Source organism: Homo sapiens, chromosome 2 (assembly GCF_000001405.40).
Source record: "Homo sapiens chromosome 2, GRCh38.p14 Primary Assembly".
Lineage (NCBI taxonomy): Eukaryota > Metazoa > Chordata > Mammalia > Primates > Hominidae > Homo > Homo sapiens.
The window spans coordinates 62,706,778-62,731,384 of NC_000002.12; the positions used below are offsets into that span (position 1 = coordinate 62,706,778).

Genomic DNA, 24,607 nt, shown 5'->3' on the forward strand with positions numbered 1-24,607 from the left:
AAAAGACATGCAGAGAACTGGGATGGTCTTTTGCAGCGTTATTTAACATGGGTGGTTAGTCATTTCTCATGATTCTCTCCTCATATTCTTTCTCTTTTTGTCTTTGTTTTGCTTTTCAGCCCTCCAGAATACCCATCATATAGCCCCTGAGGTGGCATGGTGATGTCTCCATGAGGGAACCCCTTCCCACTCATCCTGTCACGTATATCATAGTGTTCTTGACTGGGCCATTCATCTAAGATGGGATTTACCCTGTGAAACAGGGAGAAGACTTATGGACCCCAAGCATCATTTCGAGTTGTAGTTGAGTTTTTAAAAGACATACATGCAAAGTTCCTTTGCTTTGGACCCTCTGCATTATTAAAGCTGCTGTATTGCTAACCCAGAACTGCTCCAGTGTCTTGACTGATCATCATGGCTTCAGTTTGGAAGAGACTGCAGCGTGTGGGAAAACATGCATCCAAGTTCCAGTTTGTGGCCTCCTACCAGGAGCTCATGGTTGAGTGTACGAAGAAATGGTAAGATGTACCTGGAGGTAGATTTTGCTGTGCTGTGGCCTAAGCATACTGTGGCCTAAACTCTGGGTCTTCTGATAGTATATTTACCTTTCTATAGTGCACTAGTGTGTAGAAGCTGGGTGGGGCGCAGATAACTCTAACAAGTACTGTGCTGTGCACTGTTGCTGCTAGTACCATCCCTGTGGATTTTAATTACTGCGCTTCAGTATGGCTCAGAGGACTGTAACTGTGAGAGCACACTAAATACAATAGATTTGGTTTTGAGGTTATTCATCATTAGTGTTAAAATAACTTTGATTTTTGTAATTTTAAGGAGACAAAGAATGGCTACTGAAATATTGTGAGCATTAATCCGTATATTTTAATATAACAGGCATATGATTTAATAGAGTTTTAATATAGAAGTCTATATTCTTGTGGGGTGATGGTAATCTATTTTATTTTTGTTTTTTCATTTTTCCTTGCTTAGGATAAAGAATTTTTCATTATTTGATTAATGGAATGCCATCCACAAAACCTTAGAAATTCTTTTGTTAAATGCTTACTCAGGCAACTGTATTTTATTTTAATTGCCTAATGGGATACATTTCTTGGCCAGATTTAAGGAAGCAATTAGTAGTGCTGGTCTGTGATTGGCTTTTTTCCACTTGAGAAGAGTAAATATAGGGCTTTCTTTCCATTGCCCTGAATGATAAACAACAAAAATTTTTTATTTAGTGAGAGAAAAAAGTTAATTTTAAGCAAATGGTCGTTTGGGTCTTGATTTACTGCAGTGATTAAGCAGTAATGGACTTATTGCAAAATAAGTCCATTTCTTTGTCCAGAAGGACTGTAATTCAGGTCTGTAATAATTTTTCTTTTTAACATCCATTTTATTAGATTAAAAAAATAGCTTGCTTTATTCTAGAACTCTTATATTTGAATATTTATTTGGAACTAGTTTCTGAATGCTTTTCTCTTCAACTTATTAGGAATATTATTTTAAAATCAGTTTGAGAAATGCATGCACTCATTACCTACTTTATACCAGGTACTGTGGATTTAGAGTAGAATACAACATAATCCCTGTCCTCAAGGAGTGTGCAGTCCAGTATAAGGAGAGTCACATGAATAAATTCACCGTGAGAGATGCAATAATATAAATATGTATGACATAAGGATTTTAATCTGTCTCGATACAGTTGAGTATCTTTGAGGACGGGTTATTTAACTTCTCCGTGATTCAAGTTTCCATATCCATAAAGGTCATAATGGTGCCACTTCATGGGGAGGGTAATTGTGAAGATTAAATGAGTTAATACATTTAAAATGCTTGGAACAGTGTCAGGGACATAGTGCCTAATAGATGCCATTATTATGTACAGAGGTCGCAGAGGGAAAAACAATTCTTTAAGGGTAGAGGATGAGTTGTTGGGATGGCTTCCTGGGATCTGAGCTGGGTTTTGAAAGATTCATAGTTGTTGTCCAGGAAGCCAAGGGAGAAGACGTAAAAGACATTCTAGACTGAAGCAACAACCTATGCAGAAACATGGGAGGCTTACCTAGCATGGGATGTGCTGGAAATTCAAGTAGTATAGTTTGATATTAATGGGGTTTAAAGTGTAGGATTGGGGGGCATGCAGTGAGATATGAGGTTTGAGAGTCAGGCAGGACTGAAAGCATGTTAAGTTATGTGCTGTTAATAAATGATTTGGGGATTATTCTGTAGGTGATAGGAACATAGTAAAAGATTATGAGCAGAAGAGACATTAGGTTTGCTATTGGAAAATCACCAGGACAACAGTGTAGACTGAGGATCATAGTAAAAAGGTGACTGGAAGCAGCAATATTAGGGTAGCTGTTTTAATAAATAAGGGGAGACAAAAGGTTAGGACTAGGCAGTGGCAAAGGGAATGGAGAGAATTAACTGGAGGAACACTCAGAACACAAAATGGGTAGGATTTGGTGGTCATTTCAGTTGGGGATCTGAGCAAGATGGGGATGAGGGAGAAGAAAAGGGCTAGATTGACATCCAAGCTTTTGTGTTGGAAATTTGGATGTATTTGACCAAGCTGGAGAAGGTCGTGATTATAGGTGTTTCTTAACTTGGCAGTATACTGGGAGCATCAACGTTAAGATGGTTAAATTTTAATCTTTTTCTTAAGGGAAATAGAACATTATCAGGTGATTCCTCAGTTAGAAAATCAGTTTCTTCCTCACAGTTTGCAGCCTTCCTGGAATTTTATTTCCCTAGAGCTTTTAAGTTATTAATTTTTAAATAACAATTTAAGTTATTGCTAATGTGTCTAAAGGTAAAAGCTACAGCGAAAATTTAGCTTGATTGCAGTTGAATAAATGGCTTGATTACTTTTAGGGATGGCCATTATGGTGTCCCTATTAAATCAGGTCTTATGATAGGATCTGGACTTAATACCAGAAGGATTTGGATGTTCTCCTAGAAGTATTGGGGGTACTTAATACTTAGTACCCCCAATACTTCTTGTATTGTCTAGTGGTTCTAGAACTTACATCTAGAACTTAATACCAGAATTATTTATACCAGTTCTAGAACCACTAGAACTTAGATCAGGAACAAAAACGAGAATGTCTTTTTTTCATTTGAGAGAGGGACAGTATACCAGGGAGGGCCTATTCATCATCATTCCTTGATTGCCACATGAAGGGGCTTTAGCAAATTTGGAGATGATAGGGGTTTATACCCCCTACTCTTCTTGTTGTCCTTATGTCATTTAATTATTAAATGATGTAGCTGTTGGCAAGTAGTAAGACTGGCCTCTGGAGATGAGTTTGAAAGAGACTGTACTGTCATTTCTCAGTTTACTTTCTGTTCTGTTCTTTTATCATCTGTAGGCTTTTAGATTTCTGAGAGAAATCTTTACTATATGAGTTCTCAAAGGCTTTACAGGTGTTTAAGTAAACTGTATGAAAGTTGGCAAGTTGGGGTTATGATGATAATTTAACTATGTTGCAAATTAAATTCTGGTAAAAGCTCTCTAATATATGACATGAATCATTATGTATGAATACGTATTATATTTTGTATGTATATATATGAACATATTTTATATTTGTATTTATATTTCTTCCATCTAATTCTTAGTTGTGGTGGGAGGACTAAAAATATTCAGAGTGCTGTAAACTTTTCCCAAAAAGTCATGTATTTATTTTAGTTTCTTATTTTTCTATGTCATATAAGAATTCCTTTTCCTTATTTTAAAATATAATTTTAATTATAATTTATATATTAAATAGGCAGTACAATCACATGGTTCAAAACTCTAGAGGTACAAAAAGGTGAAGATACATCCCTGAAAGTAACTCTTCTTTTTGTTCATTATTTCACACATCTTTGCCAACCTTGTGACCCCAGGATTTGAAAGGTAAAAAAAAAGTAGTTTTTCTTAGTGTTTAAGTTTGTGACATTGACCTGTTAGATAAAATATAAACTCTTTAATCTGATGTTCCAGGCTATGTGTAACTGATCCCAGCTTAGTCTTCCAATTAGACATTAAGAAGACTACATGCACTTTCAGTGTTAAGTTGAATTTATGAAGACCAAATTACATTAAGAAGTATTAATTTCAGATCCACTTCTTTGGGTGGCTTAAGCAAGCATTTCTCTGTTGACCATGGAGTGATATAGAGATACATGAGCCTTGATGTAAATAACCTACTTTTGAAATAAATTTTACAAAGAACAGAAAAAAGCATTAATTAGAAACAAACTTGGTGTGTTTTGTGGGATATGGACTGTCATGAGTAAAAGTGGAAGCAGGGATACCAGCTAATAGGCTGTTGCAGTAATTCAAACAGCAGAGTAGTAGGTGGTGAGAAATGGTCAGACATATGTAACACACACATACCCTCACACACACTCAGCACCACCACACTTTATTGAGGTATAATTTACACTTGCATATAGTAAAATGCATCCATTTTAAGTGTACAGTTCAGTGAGTTTTGACAATTTTATGTACCCATGTAGCTGGATAATAAATTTTTTTAAAGATATAGTTAGCAGGACTTACTGATGGATTAGATATGATGTAAAGTAAGAGACAATCAATAATGACTATAGGTTTTTGGCCTGAGCAACCAGGTGAATGTAATATTAATTGAAGGGATAGGGGAACACTTGGGGAGGAAAAGGTTTGGTGTGAGGGAGAAATCAAGAATTCTGTTTGCTTTTCGTTTGGGACATCCAGATGGAGATCTTAGTTAAGCAGTTAATTATAAAAGTCTCAAACTCAGAGGCTGGATCATCTTAGTATGTAAGTAGTAGTTATAATCATGGGGCGATAGAAAATTTCCTATGCATTAATACAGATTGAGAAGAGGATTGAAGACTGAGCCTTGAGGCACTTCAGCATATAGAGGTGAGGAAGGAGAGGAGGAGCCAACAAAGGAGACAGGAAACAAGCAGTAGTGAGATAGGAAAATTGGGAGAGCGTGTTTTCTAAGAAACCAACTGCAAAAAGTGTATTAAGGGAGTATTTGGCTGTGTCAAATACTGTTGAGAGGTTGAGCAAGGTGACCGTTGGATTTGGCAAGATGGAAAGAACTAATGATTTTGAGGAATGGTTCAATGGAGTGGTGGAGATGAAGACTTGATTAAGTTGGCTTAGAGGAAAGGAAGTGATTACAGTGAGTATGATGATTTTTTTGGAGTATTTTGCTACAAAGCAGAGAACTAGGTAATACTTGGAGAGAGACAAGGGTTCAAGGTACATTTTTTGCTTGGCAGATATTGCAACATGTGTAAATGCTGGTGGAAATGATTGGTAGAGAAGGAAAAATGGATGATGTGGTGGGAGAGGAGGTAACCTTAGGACAGAAAAGTCTTTGAGTGAGAGAAAGAGAAAAGGATCCAGAACACAAGTGGAAACGTTGAACTTAGGTAGAAGCAGGGACCATTCATTGTTACAAGGGGAGAAGCAGGGTACATGGGTAGAGAAGCAGATAGGTTGGTAGATTTGGTTGGGAAGGATGTGGACATTCTGTTTTCTCAGGGAAATGATATAAGAAATCATCTGCTGGGAGGGAGGTGACAGTTGTTGAAGAACTGAGGAGATGAGGTATGAAGTTGTCAAAGTGAGAATGAATTGACTAGGGAAATGTAGGGGGATTGCTGGGTAGTAGTGATGACCTTCTTAACTTTGTGATTATAAATTTTAAGTGAATGCAACCAGCAAGTTTGCATATTTTAATCCAACTGTGTTCAGTGCTTTGGTGCAGGCATGGAATAGATAGAGTTGGATTTGACCAGGATTGGATTTTGTCAGGAATGTATAACTGAGGGGAAGAGAGACAGGGAAATTGAGAGCAAATGTGCAGGAGTGGTTTTAGTGATGAACCATGGAATATAAGCTGGAAAAGGAGAAGGTAAGTACGTGAAAGATGGGATAGTCAGTGAAAGCATGAAAAGGATAATGATTGAAAGATTTTAAAGAGGTTGAAGAATTGTTGGGGTTGGGAGCTGGAAAGATGGGAGGTGGAAGAGTGTGAGATGCTTGATTTTGAGGATGTGGTTAATGTTAATGACAAGATACTGGTGGTGTCCTTGGATCACATGTGCATATCTGTTTACAAAAATGAGCACATATCCCAATATATTTTTAATATACTGCATACATGAAATATGAGTATACTTTAATTTCCTTTAATAAAATAAATACCTTTAAAATAAATAAATTTAAGTAGAATTTCTTGCTGTGTTTGAGTAGATAATCTTTTGCACCTTCCAGGTATTCCTATTCCTTGTTAGAGACTATAGCTATTAGTATATAACCATGAGAGTTGGTGGCTGAGGTGAAATGGAGTAAAAGATTTTTTGGGTATGAAGAGGGTGGTCAAGGAATTTAGAGGCCAATGTGTGGACAGATTATTTGTGTGGCTCTTGAAGTTGCCAAGAATAATGGGAGGAGAAACATTTAAGACAGGGAGTCAGGTGCTAAACTCTTTTTTTTTTTTTTTTTGAGACAGAGTCACACTCTGTTGCCCAGGGTGGAGTGCAGTGGCTCATTGCAACCTCTGCCTCCTGGGTTCAAGTGATTCTCATGCCTCAGCCTCCTAAGTAGCTGGGATTACCGGCATGTACCACCATGTCTGGCTAGTTTTTTTGTATTTTTAGTAGAGACAGGGTTTTGCTATGTTGGCCAGGCTGGTCTCGAACTCCTGTCCTCAAATGATCTGCCCACCTCAGCCTCCCAAAGTACTGGGATTACAGGTCTGAGCCACGGCACCTGGCCTGGTGCTAAAATCTTTAATGTATGAGGGGAGAGATGGGGCAGAAGGTTAGATGACTGCAAAAGGAAGAGGCAAGGTAAGAAAGGTATTGTTCCCTAGTTTCTAGGCTTGCTTCTAGAGAGGTTAGTTTGCAGTACTTTCTATGTTGCAAGTTATGTGAATCTTGAACATCTTATTCCTTGAAACAAAATAGCGCAGTCTTTTCTATATTGTAAGTTGTCAAAGGCATATGATTTTAGCAAATGCTAAATTGATGTTACTTGTTTGTAATTTCATGATAGTATCTTATAAACTGATTTTTTTTAAATTGTAATTGTTACATATTGTGTTTTTTCCAGATTTTAAGTCTTTATTCTATGTGAAGAACAGTTTTACAAAATTCAATTGTGGTGGGTTCTTTAAGGAATATAGTGGAGCCACTTAATGCCATAATTGGATATTGATGTGCTTACATCATGATTATGTCTACACATGACTCAAAATATGCCTCTAGATCAAGAGTTGGCAGGCAAACTCTGGCCTGATCCAAACTGGCTCTTTTGTTCTCTAAAAAAATAGAGAACAAATTTTTTTCTGTAAATATTCACACTTTGGGAGGGGCTGAGGTGGCAGGATCCCATGAACTCAGGAGTTCAGTAGTTCAAGACCAGCCTGGGTAACATGGTGAGACCCTATCTCTTAAAAAGAAAAAAAGAAAGAAAGAAAAAGTTTGCTGACTTCTGCTTTAAGTCGTGGGAGTTACTTGCAGCTAGTGTTTAGGGAATACAGAGTCTAGCACCTTTCTGTGTTCTCTGTGCTCAGGCTCTAAACTATTAGTTTAGTCTTATTCCACTCAAACTACATAAGTAACAGAGAAGAGACCATTGTGCCAGTTTTCCAGCCTTATAGAAAGAAACTTTAGAACAGCTTCTGAAAACATTGAGGTCTGTGTCTGTGTAAAATACATATTTTCTGGCTGTGTGACCTTGGATGAATTATCTCTTGGTACTTCTTCAGTAGTGGAGATGATAATAACACTACTTCCAGCATAGAGTTGTTTTGAAGATTAAGTAAGATAATACCTGTAATAAAGGGGTTAGAACAGTGTCTGACAGAGTAAGCACCCAGAAAATTTTACCCATTGTTGTTATTATTTTTTATCTGATAAATAAGCAATGAGTGATGAAGAGAACTATCTAGAGAGAAAGGTTAGAGTAGGTGGGAAGAAGACTGTAAATATAACCTGAACTTTTAAGAGTGTTAGAGAAAGATGAACTAGCATAGGTTGGAGTGACCAGGGAGGTAGGAGTAACCAGGGAATGTGCCTGCAGAAGTACAGTGCTGAAATGAGCTAAGTTTTGACAATACTTTGACTTTTGGGGAGAGGAACTACATATTTTTGCTTCTGAAGCAAAATCAATTCCTATGGTTTTATAACTTTATTTCCTTTTTATAATAATTTCAAGCAAATGTTGGGCTAAGAAAACTAACTTAATTTCTCCAAAGTAGAATTAATTTGCCAGCATTTGTGTATGCATGTCTGTGTGTTCGTATGTGTCCTGTAGCGATGTTTTATGATATTTATGATGTATTTCTTTTCTTTTTTTCTTTTGAGACAGAGTCTTGCTCTGTCACCCAGGCTGGAGTGCAGTGGCACAATCTTGGCTCACTGCAGCCTCCACCTCCCGGGTTCAAGCAATTCTTCTGCCTCGGCCTCCCGAGTAGCTGGGACTATAGGTGCATGCCACCATGCCCAGCTAATTTTTTGTATTTTTAACAGGGATGGGGTTTCACCGTGTTAGCCAGGATGGTCTCGATCTCCTGACCTCGTGATCCGCCTGCTTCGGCCTCCCAAAGTGCTGGGATTACAGATGTGAGCCACCGTGCCCAGCCGAGTCACCGTGCCAAGCCATTTTATGATGTATTTCTTTTCTTTTTTTTTTTTGGTATTTTAAAAATATATTATTTCTGAATTTTAAAGAGTCATATGGCTACCCAGAATAAAGATTATATTTTCCAGATTTCCTTGCACTTGGTGTGGCCATGTGATTAAATTCTAGTCAATGTAATATGAGGGGAATTGATGTGTACAACTTCCAATTAGAGTCTTTGAAAGGAATGGACCTGACTTCCTCTTATCTTGACCCATTCTTGATAACTGAGGTATGGACCCAGAAGGAATGACGATTTTCAACTATGTGAATGAGATCAACAACTGGGGGATGATGGGTAACAAGACTGAAGAAAGTCAGGGTCCCAATATCATCAGGTTGCTTCCAGCCATACTACTTCTGAGCTGCCTACTTAGACTTTTTTTGAGAGAAACGTTTTCTATCTTATTCAGCTACTGTATCTTTGGATGTCTTTGCTACAACAAACTAATCTTTACCCTAGCTAATACATGTTATGCTTAATTAACCCTATTATCGCTAAGATAACGTCAAAATTTCACATCTTGGAGTAAGAGAACATCTTGCTCTACACCCTATTTTATCACTCTAGCTTCTCCTCATTCTCTTACTCCTACTCTTTCATTCTGAATTACCCTGAATTCATCATAAATGCATGGTTTCTTTCAGATCTTGACCTTTCAATGTCCCACCCATTTCTTGCCCCACCCATTCCTATCTCCTCTACTTCCAGAATTTTCTGCCCCGCAACCCCCCACCACGCCCCAACCCGGGAACTTCCCAGGCTTCTTCCCAAAGCATTTCTGAGAGGAGGTGTTACTGATTTTGGACAATTCTAAGGCTTCAATCCCCTTTTCCTATGCAACTCCCCCACCCAACAGAATCCATGACTCCCTGCTAATCTTAGGACCTATGAAGCAGGCAAAGTCTATTTTGTAGATTCTAAGAGCTGGATAATTTTTTAAGGTGTAGAGAAGCATCTTTTGCTAGAGGTTCTTCTTTGTGTCTTTTATGGTCATCTTCATTCCAAAGCTGTGCTACTGAGTCCACATTCCTTTGAGGGCAGATTGGCTTTCCAAATAGATTGGTATCATGTGAACTGTTTTTTTCTCAGTGAATAATGGCAATACACATGTGTCTCAAGCAGGTACTTAGTTTGCAAAGAAAAATAAATTCATTTATACTTTACCATCATCTTCAGCTATAAAGTGTATTGTCAATAAATTTCATTGCCACGGAGTTGATGCAGTTGTCTTCCATTGGTTCAGCAGCCATCTTTATTCCTGCGACAAATAGTCTCTTGTGAGAGGAAGCAATCTGGAAGGTCTGAGGTCCCTTTCCTCTTCCCGAGGCCCTTTGCTCCCCTGGCAACTGCCTGAATAGTCAGCAAGGAGTTGTTTCCCAGTGCTTTTTGCATTCCTGGCTGCCAACTCTGGCTGCTAAAGTGTCTGCCACCTGCTACAATTTATGATGTTTCTCTACGTGATGACTGTTCATTTCTTTTTTCATTATCTTTTGTAGCAACAGGGGTCTCACTGTGTTGTCCAGGCTGGTCTTGAACTTCTGGCCTCAAGCGACCCTCTGCCTTGGCCCCTCAAAAGTGCTGGGATTACAGGTGTAAGGACCATGCCCAGGGCCAGTTTTTACTTAAAAATTTTTTTCCTGTCATGATTTTAAAGAAATGAACCTAGGATCTTTTCGTAGTGTGTAATTTTCATACATTATTTTGTTATCAAATCTTGATTTACATACTTTAAAAGTTGATTTCTAAAATGAAATTTTAAGGGATTATGTGAGGAGGTTCTGTTCTTATGATTTAGTTTAGTTTCAAATGAGTTTTGCAATTAAAATGCCCAGGGAACTTAAAATTAGGCATTTCTAGAAATGTGCTATTGATGCATCAAATGTGTTTGTTCTGATTTTTTAGGAAATTTCAACAAAAGAGCCACTGAACTTGTTCACTGCATGATATAAAAATAGTTCAGGAAAAATTGCACAAAGCATTTTGAATACTCAATAGGGATGTTCATATTCTACATTAGGACTTTTGCACATTTGTTAAAAGGAGTGGAACTGAGTTTGAAACAGAGGCAGTGAAATTACTGCAGGATGTAATTGTACCTGGTATTTGTCTTATGTATCACTGTTATAGTGATATTTTTTGGCAGCTTTGCTAAAAGGTACCTGCTGATTTTCTTTAGTAAGTTTGGTTTATTAAAACATTTTCTGGTTTTATTAATCCGGGTATTGTTATTTCGAAAATAGTTTTAATAAAGTTTTTTTTTTAAAAAAAACCTATAAAATTTAACTTTAATTATAACAAACACTTTAAAATTTGATAACCTGCCTATGTCTGAAAGAGTTTGTCAGCCTAAGAATTTAAAATAATACCATGTTGACTAATTTAGGGATATAAATAGAATGATGGTCTTACAGGAGCAGAGAGAGCACGTATTACTAGGCACTTGAGAGGAGTTAGTTTGCTGCTATTGGAGACTGGATTTTGTTCTGAGTTTATTGGCGGCCAAGGCAAAAAGGGATGCACATTGGCTCTTTAATAGTCCTCCTGGCTAAAGAAAGTATATAAATTTGTTTGCAGACTTTTCTTAGACCTTAATCCAAAGAGGATTTTTATTATGAAAATAAAATATGACATTAGATAAAATCTCCAACTACAAAAGACTCAGAACCACTGTTAAATAAGATAATGTTTATGTTGACCATTCATGAAGACTTTTTATGAGAGAATATGGCTGAGAAACCTAGTTTTCTGATCATGTAATTTAAACCAAGAGTACCACTTGGGAAATTTAGAAGAATGGAAATTTTACATAAATCATTTAGTTTTGTGCTGTCTAGTACAGAGGGAACTAACTATATGTGCTATTTACATCTAAATTTAAATCAATTTAAATTAAATGTAAAATTCAGTTCTTCAGTTACAGTAGCCACATTTCAAATGCTCACTAGCCACATGTGGCTAGCGGCCACCATCTTGGATAGTGCAAATATGGAACATGTTCATCACCACAAAAAGTTTTACAGGACAGTGCTGATTTAGCCAGTGCTTCCCAAACTGACTATCTTTAGAATTGCTGGGGTGCTTTGCAAATATGGAGATTTCCATATCCCCTAGGAGGTCCTGATTCTGTAGGTCTGTGATAGTGATGGCAAATCTGTCATTTTAGAAGTTACGCAATTGCTGAAGAGTATCAAATTAGGTCTTAGAACTACCATATTTGATTCTTTCTTAAGAATCCATCTGAAACAAAGCTTTAGCAGGTGCTGGATGACAGTTCTATTGGTACTCCAGAAAGTGTTTATTGACTTGAAATTTTGAGTTGAATTTTCTTACAGTGGTTCAGCTGTTTTGTGATTTTCTTTCTGATTAAAAGTGAGAGCAATGTGTTTTAGCTGTGCCATTTTAGCTGCCAAAATTAACAAATATTTAAACAGGTTCATTGGTTCATTTAAAGACAAGACTGGTTTGTTCTCTTCCATATAAGCAAAGAGTGTTGAGAGATAGCTATTCTGAATGTTGAGGTAGAATTTTTTTTTTTTTTTTTTTGAGCTAGGGTCTCACTCCCATCACTCAGGCTGGAGTGTAGTGGTGCAGTCTCGGTTCCTGGGCTCAAGTGATGTCCCTCATCTCAGCCTCCTGAGTAGCTGGTACTACAGATGTGTGTCACCACGCCCGGCTAATTTTTTGTATTTTTTGTAGAGGCAAAGTTTTGCCATGTTGCCCAGGCTGGTCTTGAACACGGGTCTGAAGTGATCCACCTGCTTTGGCCTCCCAAAGTGCTAGGATTGCAGGCATGAGCCACTGTGCCGACCAGAATAATTTTTTTTTTAAGAAAAGTTTTGAAACTTCTTAAGTACTTGCATTATAATTGTACTTCTAGACAACATCACTAGTAGATCTGCTCATTTTTTTTTCTCTGAAGCATGTCTTAATTCTCACGTTGATTTTTCTATTCCATTGCCTTGTTTCCATCCTTTGCTGTCTTTTGCCAAGGGCCATGATTCACAAACTGTGCCAAGGAGCCCAGGGGCACTGCAGAGAACTCACAAGGGAGCAAGAGATGTTTAACAATTTTGAAGGAAACGTAGCAGCATCTGTTGGAAACCACACAAAGTATAGTTGGTCCTCTCTGTATCTATGGGTTCTGCATCTATGGATTCAACCAACTGTGGATTGAAAATATTTGAAAAACAAAATTGTATCAAACATGTACAGATTTGTTTTGGTCATTATTCTCTAAAAAATACAGTATAAAACAATATTTACATAGCATTTACATTGTATTAGATATTATAAGTAATTTAGAGATGACTTTAAAGTATACAGGAGGATGTCCATAGGTTATATGCAAATACTATGCCATTTTATGTCAGGGACTTGAGCATCCTCAGATTTTGGTATCCTCAGGAGGTCCTGGAACCAATCCTCCACTGATACTAATGGAAGACTGTACTAGCTTGAGGTAGTTCAGTTTCAAAATTAGATTGCTACTTTCTTTTCAATGATACCACATTTTTGCAAAGCTGGGGTTTTGGCAGTTGCTATGACAAAAAGCAGACATCACATGAAAATCTGTGTGGTACAGGAAACTAGGGAGGCAGTGTCCAATCTAATTCTCAAGTTTGAGAATTAGATTGTCAAGTGTCTAAAACAGGTGCTAAGTTTTTAGGACATACATCCTTCTTAAGTTGTTTGGACCTGACTACTTAATAAACAAAATGGTTAGGTATTTCTTTTGGCTTGGGGGTGAGGGAGTCTGAAAAAAATTACACATTAAGGGCCTTGTAAACCCAGAAAGTTTGGGAACCTCTAGTGTAGGCTTTTGTGATGGCACTTAATGCTTTCCTGGCCCCTCTGGTCTCCCCTTTGCCTATATTACTGCCATAGTTGTCCTTCTAAAATTAGCCTTCCTTTAAATATGTCCTTATTCTGTTTTACTAGTCTTCTTCCAACCATTTCCCTTAAGATTCTGAAATCTTGTTTTTACTACATGCAAATAGTTTCTCTCAAATTTTATCTTTTATTCTTCTCTTTCCCTCTCCAAAATCATTAAATGCAGAAAGCTGTATAGTAAAACCCTGTCTCAAAGTAACTTAATTGAAACTGGATTTATTCATGCAATAAGTGGGTCTAGATATCAAGTTTAATGGTTCAGCTTTAATTTGAAGAGTACTCTAATTTGCAAAATTACTTTTAAAAATTGGTTAATTCATTTATTTTGAAACTTTTTATGGAATTAATTTTAGGCTTACAGAAGAGTTGCAAAGATAGTACAGAGCAGGGGTGTCCAATCTTTTGGTTTCCCTGGGTCACACTGGAAGAAGAATTGTCTTGGGCCATGTAAAATACACTAACACTAATGACAGTTGATGAGCTTTAAAAAAAACTCCCTGCATAAATCTCATAATGCTTTAAGAAAGTTTGTGATTTTGTGTTGGGCCGCAGTTTGGACAAGCTTGATATAGAGAGTTCTTACATATCACATCACCCAGCTTTTTTTGGGTAAAATTTGAATAAATAAATTTACCATTGTCATTTATCAAAACTAAGATTAATATTATTAGGCAAGCTACAGGACTTTATTAGATTTTACCAGTTTTCTCACTAATATCCTTTTTCTGTCCAAGGATGTAGTCCAGGTTACCACATTGCATTTAGTTGTCATATCTCCTCTAATCTGTAATAGTTTTTAGTCTTTTTTTGTTTTTGTTTTTCATGACCTTGTTAGGTTTGCCAAGTGCTGGTTAGGTTATTTTGTAGAATGTCCCTCAAATTGGGTTTGTTTGATGTTTTTTTAGTCATTAGACTGAGGTGATGGAATTTTGATAAGATACCACAGAGGTAAAGTGCCTCTAGCCCCTGTCACATAATATGATATACCACATGATATCAACGTGACTTATCACTGGTAATATTCACCTTGATCACTTAGTCTATGGAGTTTCTCCACTGTAAAGTTACTATTTTACCCTTTCATATTTTATGCATTAGAAACCAGTTTCTAAATCTAATTTCTCAGGGAGGAGAATTAAGTTTCATCTCCTGGAAGGAGAAGTATCAAAGAATTTGAACATATGTTACAACTACCACAGAACTAATAAATACTGGGGGGAAGATGCTTTGAAGTTATGTAAGTGTCCTATTTTTCTTTAAAGTTTTGGTCACCAATTTAAAAATTCATCAGTAGATTTTGCTTGTAGCGATCACTACTGTGTCCTAATGATAATTTTCTGTTTCCTTTATTCCTTCTACATTTATTTTTGGAATTTTCCTGTAAGCAAGATTTGTCCTTTATTCCTCATTTATTTATTCAGTTATTTATTCATATCAGTGTGTACTTAATGGTTATTTATAAAATAACCTTTTGATATCATTACTGCCTTTTGTACAGAGGTTCTGACAAGGAGGTACATTGTTTTTTAAAAATAACCCTATTTTTAAAAAGAACCTTTATTTTGAAATAATTTCAGACTTATAGAAAAGTTGCAAACACAATACAAATAATTCACATATACATTTCCCCTCAATTCCCCAAGTGGCAACATTTTACCATATTTGCTTTATCAATCTCTCTTAAGCTATTTTGTATGTAATTTTTTTCTTAACATTTAAGAGTAAGTTGTACCATAGTGCCCCCTTACCCATAAACACTAGAGTATGTATTTCTTAAAAATAGGAATTTTGTTTTTTTTTTTGAGACAGAGTCTCACTCTATTGCCCATGCTGGAGTGCAGTGGCGTGTGATCTTGGCTCACTGCAACCTCTGCCTCCTGGGTTCAGGCGATTCTCCTGCCTCGGCCTCCCGAGTAGCTGGAACTATAGGTGCATACCACCACACCAGGCTAATTTTTTGTATTTTTAGTAGAGATGGGGTTTTACTGTGTTAGCCAGGTTGGTCTCGATCTCGTGATCCACCTGCCTTGGCCTCCCAAAATGGTGGGATTACAGGCATGAGCCACCATGCCCTGCCAAAAATAGGGATTTTTTTTTTTTTAAACATAACCACAGTTTAATTTGTCAAAATCAGGAAATTTACATTTGTATGTAATGTTATTACTTAATCTATAAGCCTAATTCAGATTTCTCCAATTATCCCAAGAATTCCATTGATACCAAAAGAAGAATTTTTTCCTCCCTAGACCAGGATCTAATCCAGGACCATATGTTACATTTAGTTGTCACACCTCTTTAATCTCCTTTAATCTGGTAGAATTCCTCAGTCTTTGTTTTGACACTTGACACTTCTTAAGTGTCAATTCACCTTGACACTTTTGAAGAGTGTTCCTCAATTTGTGTTTGTCTGATATTTACTCATGATTAGGTTCAGGTTATTAATACTTTGCAGTAATACCAAAGTGAAGCTGTGTATTCTCTGCATCAGGAGTCACATGATATTGATTGTGCTGTGGTTCAAGAGAGCTGTTGTTATGATTTCAGTTCTTTTGCTCCTTGGCTGAGGTATTTTATGTCCAATTATGTGGTTGATTTTAGAGTATGTGCCAAGTGGAGATGAGAAGAATGTATATTCTGTTGTTTTTGGATGGAGAGTTCTGTAGATGTCTATGAGGTCCATTTGATCCAGTGCTGGGTTCAGGTCCTCAATATCTTTGTTCAAAGTTTCTGCCTTAGTGATCTAATACTGTCAGTGAGGTGTTGAAGTCTTCCACAAGTCTCTTTGAAGGTCTCGAAGAAATTGCTTTATGAATTGGGGTGCTCCTGTCTTGGATGCACACATATTTAGGATAATCAGGTCTTCTTGTTGAACCCTTTACCATTATGTAATGCCCTTCTTTGTCTTTTTTAATCTTTGTGATTTAAGGTCTATTTTGTCTGAAATTAGGATTGCAACTTTTGATTTTTTTTCTGTTTTCTATTAGCCCTGTAGGTTTTTCTCCATCCCTTTATTTTGAGCCTATGGGTGTCATTGCATGTGAGGTGGGTCTCTTGAAGACAGCATACCAATAAGTCTTGGTTCTTTATGCAGCTTTCCACTCTGTGCCTTTTAATTGGGGTGTTTAGCCCATTTACATTTAAGGTTAATATTGATATGTTTGGATTTGATCCTGTCATCGTGATGTTAGCTGGTTATTATGCAGACTTGTGTGGTTGCTTTATAGTGTCACTGGCCTGTGTACTTAAGTGTGTTTTTGTAGTGGCTGGAAACAGTCTTTCCTTTCCATATATAGTGTTTCCTTTAGGAGCTCTTGTAAGGCAGATCTGGTGATAATTAATTTCCTCAGCATTTCCTTATGTGGAAAGGATTTTATTTCTCCTTCGCTTATGAAGCTTAGTTTGGTGAGACATGAAATTCTGGGTTGGAATTTCTTTTCTTTAAGAATGTTGAATATAGGCTCCCAGTCTCTTCTGGCTTTTAAGGTTTCTTCTGCTGAGAGGTCCACTGTTAGTCTGATGGGCTTCTCTTTGTAGATGACCTGACCTTTCTCTCTAGCATTTTTTCTTTCATTTCAACCTTGGGGAATCTGATTATTATGTGTCTTGAGGATGATCTTCTTGTGAAGTATCTTACTAGGGTTCTCTGCATTTCCTGAATTTGAATGTTGGCCTCTCTAGCTAGGTTGGGGAAGTTCTCATGGATGGTATCCTGAAATACGTTTTCCGAGTTGCTTACACTCTCCCCATCTCTTTCAGGGATACCAGTGAGTCATAGATTTGGTCTCTTCACATAATCCCATATTTCTCAGAGGTTTTATTTGTTCCTTTTCATTCTTTTTTGTCTATTCTTGTCTGACTGTCTTATTTCAGAAAGCAGTCTTCAAGCTCTGAAATTCTTTCCTCCACTTGGTCTGTTCTGCTGTTAGTTCTTGTGATTGCATTATGAAATTCTTGTAGTGTGTAACCAATTCTGTCAGATTGGTTACATTCTTTTCTATACTGGTTATTTTGTCTTGTCAGCTCCTGCATTGTTTTATTGTGATTCTTAGCTTCCTTGGATTGGGTTTTAGTGTACTGCGTCTCAGTGATTCTTGTTCCTGTCCATATACTGAATTCTATTTCTGTCACTTCAGCCATCTCGGCTTAATTCAGAAAGCTTGCAGGGGAGGTGTTGCAGTTGTTTGGAGGAAGGAAGGCACTTTGGCTTTTTGAATTGTCAGAGTTCTTTTGTTGGTCCTTTTTCATCTTTATGGGCTGATGTTTCTTCAATCTTTGAAGTTGCTCACCTTTGGATAGTTTTTTTTTTTTTCTTTTATCCTATTTGATGGCCTAGAGGAGGGGTTCCCAACCCCTGGGCCATGGACTAGTACCAGTCTATGGCCTGTTGGGAACTGGGCTGCACAGCAGGAGGTGAGTAGTGGGCAGGCAGGCGAGTGAGCATTACTACCTGAAATCCGCCTCCTGTCAGATCAGTGGTGGCATTAGATTCTCACAGGAGCACAAATGCTATTGTGTACTGCTCATGCAAGGGATGTAACTTGTATGCTCCTTATGAGAATCTAATGCCTTCTCTCAACTTGTGTAGAAAAATTGTCTTCCATGAAATTGGTTCCTGGTGCCATAAAGATTGGGGACTGCTGACCTAGAGGACTTGATTGTGGTATAAGGTGGATTCAGCCAACTGACTTCATTTCTGGAAGATTTTAGGGGGCCAGTGCTCAGCTCCCAACTCCTGGACTGTGTGCTCTAACTCTGGAGGACTTTTATCAGCCCTGACTTTGTTCTCTGGCTCCTCGGGGATAGGAATCCACTGTGCTGTGGCGGTGGGGGCGCTCCAAGGTGCTGGGTGGTGTTGGCCAAAGTGTTTTGTAGTGTGGTGACAGTGATATCCATCCTCATTTGCTTGTGCCTTATTTGCATGTGCCTCATTTGCATATGCCAGCAGCAGCGGCTGTGGCAGTGTGGTGGAGTGTATGCTCATTGGTTGCGGCAGTGTGCTAGTGGGTCCCGGGGTGCCTGCCTCCAAGCCAGTGTTCACCTCAGTGGCAGAGGCAACCCATTCGTGGGGATGCGGGGGCCCCCTGCTGGCAACTGTGCATGCCGTCATGCTGGTGGTGGTGTTGGCACAGGGGTGGGGCACTGGCAGGCACAAGTCTGTGTGCACTGTGTGCACTGCCATCAGGGGTGGTTACTCAGGGCAGCAGGGAGTCTGCTGTTTTCTGCCTGGTTTCACTCCCACAGCAGTGTTGGTACAAAGGCAGGGTGCTGGTGGGGGTGGAGTTGGATGGCTCTGTGCCTGCCGAGGCTCCCATTGAAATATGGTTGGTGGAGGATGGGGGATGGACTGCACTTTGGAGGCAGCAGTGGCTGGGTAGGGTGCATGCACATGGGCAGCTGATGGAGCAAGGAAGCCAAAACTTGCCCATGCACACACTGCCAGCAAAGCGATGTGGGGGGTTGTCATGATTGGAGGTGGTGTGTGGGAGCTACAGTGTGGGGAGGAAGCAGGTAGGCTGGTGCGTGGCTATGAGAGCTGCCCTGCTGGAGCTCTCCACCAGTCAAGCACTGTTGCTAGCATAGGAGCTAAGTTGTGGGCCCCTAGGGCGCTCAAGGCTTCTGTGCAAGCAGAAGTGGCCAGGCTAGGACCCAGGGAGAGGCCAGCAGACCAAGGGACACAGGGGTTGGGCTGGCCTTGTCTGATGGGCAAGACTGCCCTGCAGAGTTGAGGTCCAACAGTACCTCTAGGGCTAAAATCTCCTATGGGAGCAAGTCAAGCCTAGGGGGATGGGCAACCCTGGCTGTGCCCTATTACAGATGCTCCTTCACCAAACCCTCTGAGCTCCACATCAGCTGGCTTACTGCCCCTACCACTTCTCTAAGCAGCTCTCCCTGCCAACTCGAGTGTCCATTGTGGTGGAGGAGTCTCCTCTTGCCAGGATTCCAGAGGTCAGTGGTGAGAGTGGGTGGGTTTCTCCTTGCCAGTTCAACTCACCCAGTCTCCTGGAATCCTTGGAGGCCTGGAATGATTACTGGTGTGCGGTAGGTAGCCCCGTGCTGGGTTTCCAGCTTCCTCCACCTTCATCCCAGCTTCTGTGTCTTCCCTCTTTCTGCTCTCAGTACTTTTCCTCTGAAGATCTGTTAGGCATGTGCCAGTCATTTCAATCCCTTCGTGGCATCTGTTCTATCTGGCTGCTCTAGTCGGCCATCTTGCCCTCTCTCTTATCCTATTCCTAATCAAACTCTTACCCATTAGTGTTAGTATTCAGTATGGTTTTGTTTTTATTTTTTATTTTAGACTTGTTAAGTGCACTATTGAGAAAGGGGGAAAGAATAGAACTAGGAGTTCAATCTGTTACTGACTGTGAACAATCGATTGAGATAACTCACTACCAGCCTGGTTTTGTTTTTTATTTGAAGCATAGATAGATTCGTTTGTATTTATATTTCACACTATAAAATCCTCCCATCCTGTTGAATTAATTAATTAATTAAATGTTAATGTTGTTCCCCATGTGAGAACTATTTTTTTTTTTTCGAGACGGAGTCTTGCTCTGTCATCCAGGCTGGAGTGCAGTGGTGCGATCTCGGCTCACTGCGACTTCCACCTCCCAGGTTCAAGCAATTCTCCTGCCTCAGCCTCCTGAGTAGCTGGAATTACAGGCACATGCCACCACGCCCGACTAATTTTTGTATTTTTGGTAGACACGTGGTTTCACCATGTTGGTCAGGCTGGTCTCAAACTCCTGACCTTGTGATCCGCCCGCCTTGGCCTCCCAAAGTGCTGGGATTACAGGCGTGAGCCACTGCGCCCGGCCTACAAGAACTATTTTTAAAATTATGTCTTCCCCATCCTGATTATCCTATTCCCAACTCTGTCCTTTCCACCTTGTTCCACCCAACTCCTGAATGTAACCAGTTTTGTTATTCTGGATTTCTTCTTCTTCCTTTTTTTTTTTTTAAACAGATTTATTGAGGTATAACTCATGTACTAAACAGTTTGCCCTTTTAAAGTGTACAATTCAGTGGTTTTTAATGTATTTCTAGAGTTGTGCAACCATAGTCACTATCTAATTTTGGAACATTTTTGTGAAAAAATCCCGTACCTGTTAGCAGTCACTCCGTATTCCTCTGGAACTCCCCTCCCCACTCAACCCCCAGGTAACCACTAATCTAATTTCTGTTCTCTCTAGATTTGCCTATTCCAGATACTATATGGTCTTTTGTGACTGGCTTCTTTCACTTAGCATTATGGTTTCAAGGTTCATCCATGTGTAACAAATGTCAATACTTCATTCCTTTTTATTGCTGAATAATCTATTATATGGATATGTTACATTTTACCCATTCATCAGTTGATGAACATTTGGGCTGTTTCCACTTTTCTGCTATTATGAATAATGCTGCTATGAACATTTGTGTCTTGGGTATGTTACAGATCACAGGCTCTTTGGCTCCCTGTATAATAAAAATTAACATAGGGCCAAGTAGATATCCCAGACAAGGCTGTTATTTTGGGGCTTGCACTTGAGCGCAAGGGAGACAGCAGAGGTGCAAGGACTCTTTAGCTGAGTCTGTGAAACAGCTGGTAGGGAATTTTTTGTTAGACAAAGTGCACGATTGACATCAGGGGTGAGACATGCAGACTGGGCTGGGAAAAGCCTGTGAAGGGTAGGGTATGAGGGTCAGCATATCTGGTTGTGATATTTATCTTAAATATTGGACACCCTAGTAGTCTGGCCAGAGGCAACAAGGCTATAAGTTAATTGTTAAGCATTCTTTCCTGAAGTGGGACACTCCACAACCTCGGTTTGATATTTAGATTTCCTAAGGCCAGTTCCTGGAATTCTTTAAGTAAAAGGCATGGTTTAAACATTACGAAGAAGGAGCTGTGTCCCATTCCTATTCTATCTCAGGTACATACCTGGAAGTGGAATGCTGGACCATGTAGGAACTAACTTTTTGAAGAACTGTCAAACTGTTTACCAAAGTGGCCGCATCATTTCACATTCCCACCAGCAATGTATGAAGGTTCCAGTTTCTTCATTTCCTCACCAACACATCTGATTGTCTTTTTTATTTTAGCCATTTAAGTACATGTAAAGTGTTATATCATTGTGGTTTTTGACTTGCGTTTCTCTAATTGCTGAACCATGTTGAGCCACAATATTTTCATATGCTTATAGACCATTTACATGTCTTTTTTGGAGAAATGTGTATTGTAATCATTTGCCCATTTTTAATTGGATCGTTTCCTTTTAGTGTTGTAAGAATTCTTTATATATTTTGGATATAAGACACTTATCAGGTATGTGATTTGCAAATAGTTTCTCTCATGTTGTAAGCTATTTACTTTCTTGGTGGTGTTTTTAAAAAAGGGCTTAATTTTCATAAAATGTAGTGTGTCTATTAATACATTAATAATATGTCTATTTTTTATTTTGTTACTTGTACTTTTGGTGTTGTGCCTTCTTAGACTTTGCCTAACCCAAAGTCACAAAGATTTACTACTTCTATTTTTTATAAGAGTTTTATAATTTTAACTCTTACATATAGTAAGAGTAAGTCTATAATCTATTTTGAGTTAATTTTTGTGTATGGTGTAAGGAAGGTGTCTACTTTTATTCTTTTGTATGTGAGTATTTACTTCTAGCACCATTTGTCTAGTCTGGTTATTTTCTTCCTTTGTTTCTTTTTGCATGAACGTGCAGATATATGCACTTCTAAAAAATTTATTTATTTTACCTGTGCAGAAGACGTAAGACAATACAATCAGTACTTTCACTTTACTTTTTCACTTAATATATTCTGGAAATCATTCCATATCAGTTCATAGAGTTTGTCCTTATTCTTTTTTTTTTTCCTCAACAGCTACAAAGTACTATCTTTGTGATACACTATAGTTTATCCAACTATTCTCTTATATGTGGTCATTTAGATTTTGCACATATAATATTTTATAATATAATATAATATTTATAATATAATATAATATATATAATATATATAATAATAAATATAATATAATATAATAATAAATATCATATTTATTATATATAATAAATATAATAATAATAATATAATATAATAATAATAAATATAATAATAAATATATAATATATAAATATATAAAAATATATATAAATATATAAATATATAATAAATATAATAAAATAAATAAATATAATATATATAATATATATTATATATAATATATAATATAATATAATAAATAAATATAATAATAATATATATAATAATAAATATAATAATAAATAAAATAAAATAAAATAAAATAATATAATATAATATAATATTTTGCACCTATAATACTTTAATGAATAGCCTTTATGTTTGGGAGTAAAGTCCTAGAAATGGAATTGCTGTGTCAAAAGGTAAACACATATGTGGTCTTGTTAGATATTGCCAAATTCCTCTCCATAAGGGTTTTACCAATTTACCTTCCCACCAGAAATATATGAGAGTGCCTGTTTCCCCACAGCCTCGAGTACCAAATTTGTTGTCCTGAGGTTTTTGCCAAAGTGAGAGGTGAGAAATGGTATCTTGGGGTAGTTTTAATATGTACAGACATACCTCAGAGATATTGTGATCTTAGTTCCAAACCACTGTAATAAAGCAAATATTGCTATAGAGAGAGTCACACAAATTCTTTGTTTTCTTAGTGCATATAAAAGTTGTGTTATTTATTGACTACTGTTCTATCTAGTTTTTGGTCTTTCTCCTTTAACTTTAAAACAATTAATAGACTTTATGGTTTTGAGCAGTTATGAATTTACAGAAAAATTAAGTAGAGTACAGACAATTTTCATATACCCCTCATCTGCCCCTATTTCCCCCCACTTATTGATATCTTACATTAATAATGACATGATTCCACCGTTATAGTATCATACAGAATATTTTCATGGCTCTGAAAATCCTCTGAAATCTCTCCCTCACTCCCCCTCTCCCTCCCACTGAATTTCTGGCAACTACTAATCTTTTTACTGTCACCATAGTTTTGCCTTTTCCAGAATGTTATGTTGTTGGAATCATACATTAGGTAGACTTTTTAGATTGGCTTCTTTCAGTCATCAATATGCATTGAAGTTTCCTCCATGTCTTGTGGCTTGATAGCTTATTTCTTTTCCATGAGTAAATAATATTCCATTGTCTGGATGTGCCACAGTTTATCCATTTACCTGTTGAAGGACATCTTAGTTGCTTCTAAGTTTTGACAATTATGAATAAAGCTGCTCTAAACATCTTTTTCTTTTTTTTTAGAGAGAGAGAGAGAGACAGAGACAGAGAGAGATAGACAAAGATACACAAAGAGAGAAGGACAGAGAGAGACAGACAGACAGACAGAGATACACAAAGACAAGATACACAAAGATACACAAAGAGAGAAAGAAAGAGAGAGACAGACAAAGAGACAGACAGAGAAAGACAGAGATGGACAGAGACAGAGAGAAAAAGAAAGAGAGAAACAGAGAGACGGAGAGAGAGAGACAGACAGGCAGACAGGCAGGCAGAGAAAGAGTAAGACAGAAGACAGACACAGTGAGAGAGACAGGTAGAGAGAGAGACAGAGATAGAAAGACAGAGAGAAAGATACTTGTGGGGAGTTTGATTGATACTGCATTGAGTCTATAGATCAAATTGGGAAGAACTGCATCTTGGTAATATTGAGTCTTTCCATCCATGTACAGATATCTCTCAATTTATTTGGATCTTCTTGGATTTTTGTAATTTTTTTCCCATAGATCTTGTATATATTTATTGGATTTATACCTAAGTATTTCATTTTTTTGGTGCTAATATAAATGGTATTCCTGTTTTTAAATTCCAATTCCAATTGGTAAATTCCAATTGTTCATTGCTGATGTATAAAAGGAATTGACTTTTATATATTAACCTTGTATCCTGCAATCTTGCTATGATTGCTTATGTATTTTAGGAGTTTTGTTGATTTTTTGGGACTTTCTGCATAGACAATCCTATCACACGCAAACAAATACAGTTTTATTTCTTCCTTTCCA

General features: G+C 37.7%; 1 protein-coding gene across 52 annotated transcripts in view, besides 2 other annotated features; it reads left to right on the forward strand.

Moving 5' to 3' along the window:
* The window catches only part of EHBP1 (EH domain binding protein 1), a 372,610-nt gene that overhangs the window by 32,900 nt on the left and 315,103 nt on the right, over positions 1-24,607 (forward strand). For 51 of the 52 annotated variants that reach the window (XM_047443744.1, NM_001142615.3, XM_047443745.1 and 48 more), the window contains one exon: positions 120-518. The exons of the other annotated variant lie outside the window; for it this stretch is intronic. In XM_047443744.1, coding sequence (XP_047299700.1) covers positions 415-518 — 104 coding nt within the window. In that variant the 5' untranslated portion in view covers positions 120-414. Of the gene's footprint in view, positions 1-119; positions 519-24,607 lie in introns of those variants that run through there. 52 annotated transcript variants of the gene reach the window in all.
* Positions 19,250-19,309: an enhancer, noted in NCBI's record as "active region_15871". NCBI's record gives its function as "activates an Ori minimal core promoter by ATAC-STARR-seq in GM12878 lymphoblastoid cells {active_cell/tissue: GM12878}" and the evidence as "EXISTENCE:reporter gene assay evidence [ECO:0000049][PMID:35858748]".
* Positions 23,897-24,191: a silencer, noted in NCBI's record as "tiled region #1961; HepG2 Repressive non-DNase unmatched - State 25:Art". NCBI's record gives its function as "represses a minimal TATA promoter and a strong SV40 promoter by Sharpr-MPRA in HepG2 cells {active_cell/tissue: HepG2}" and the evidence as "EXISTENCE:reporter gene assay evidence [ECO:0000049][PMID:27701403]".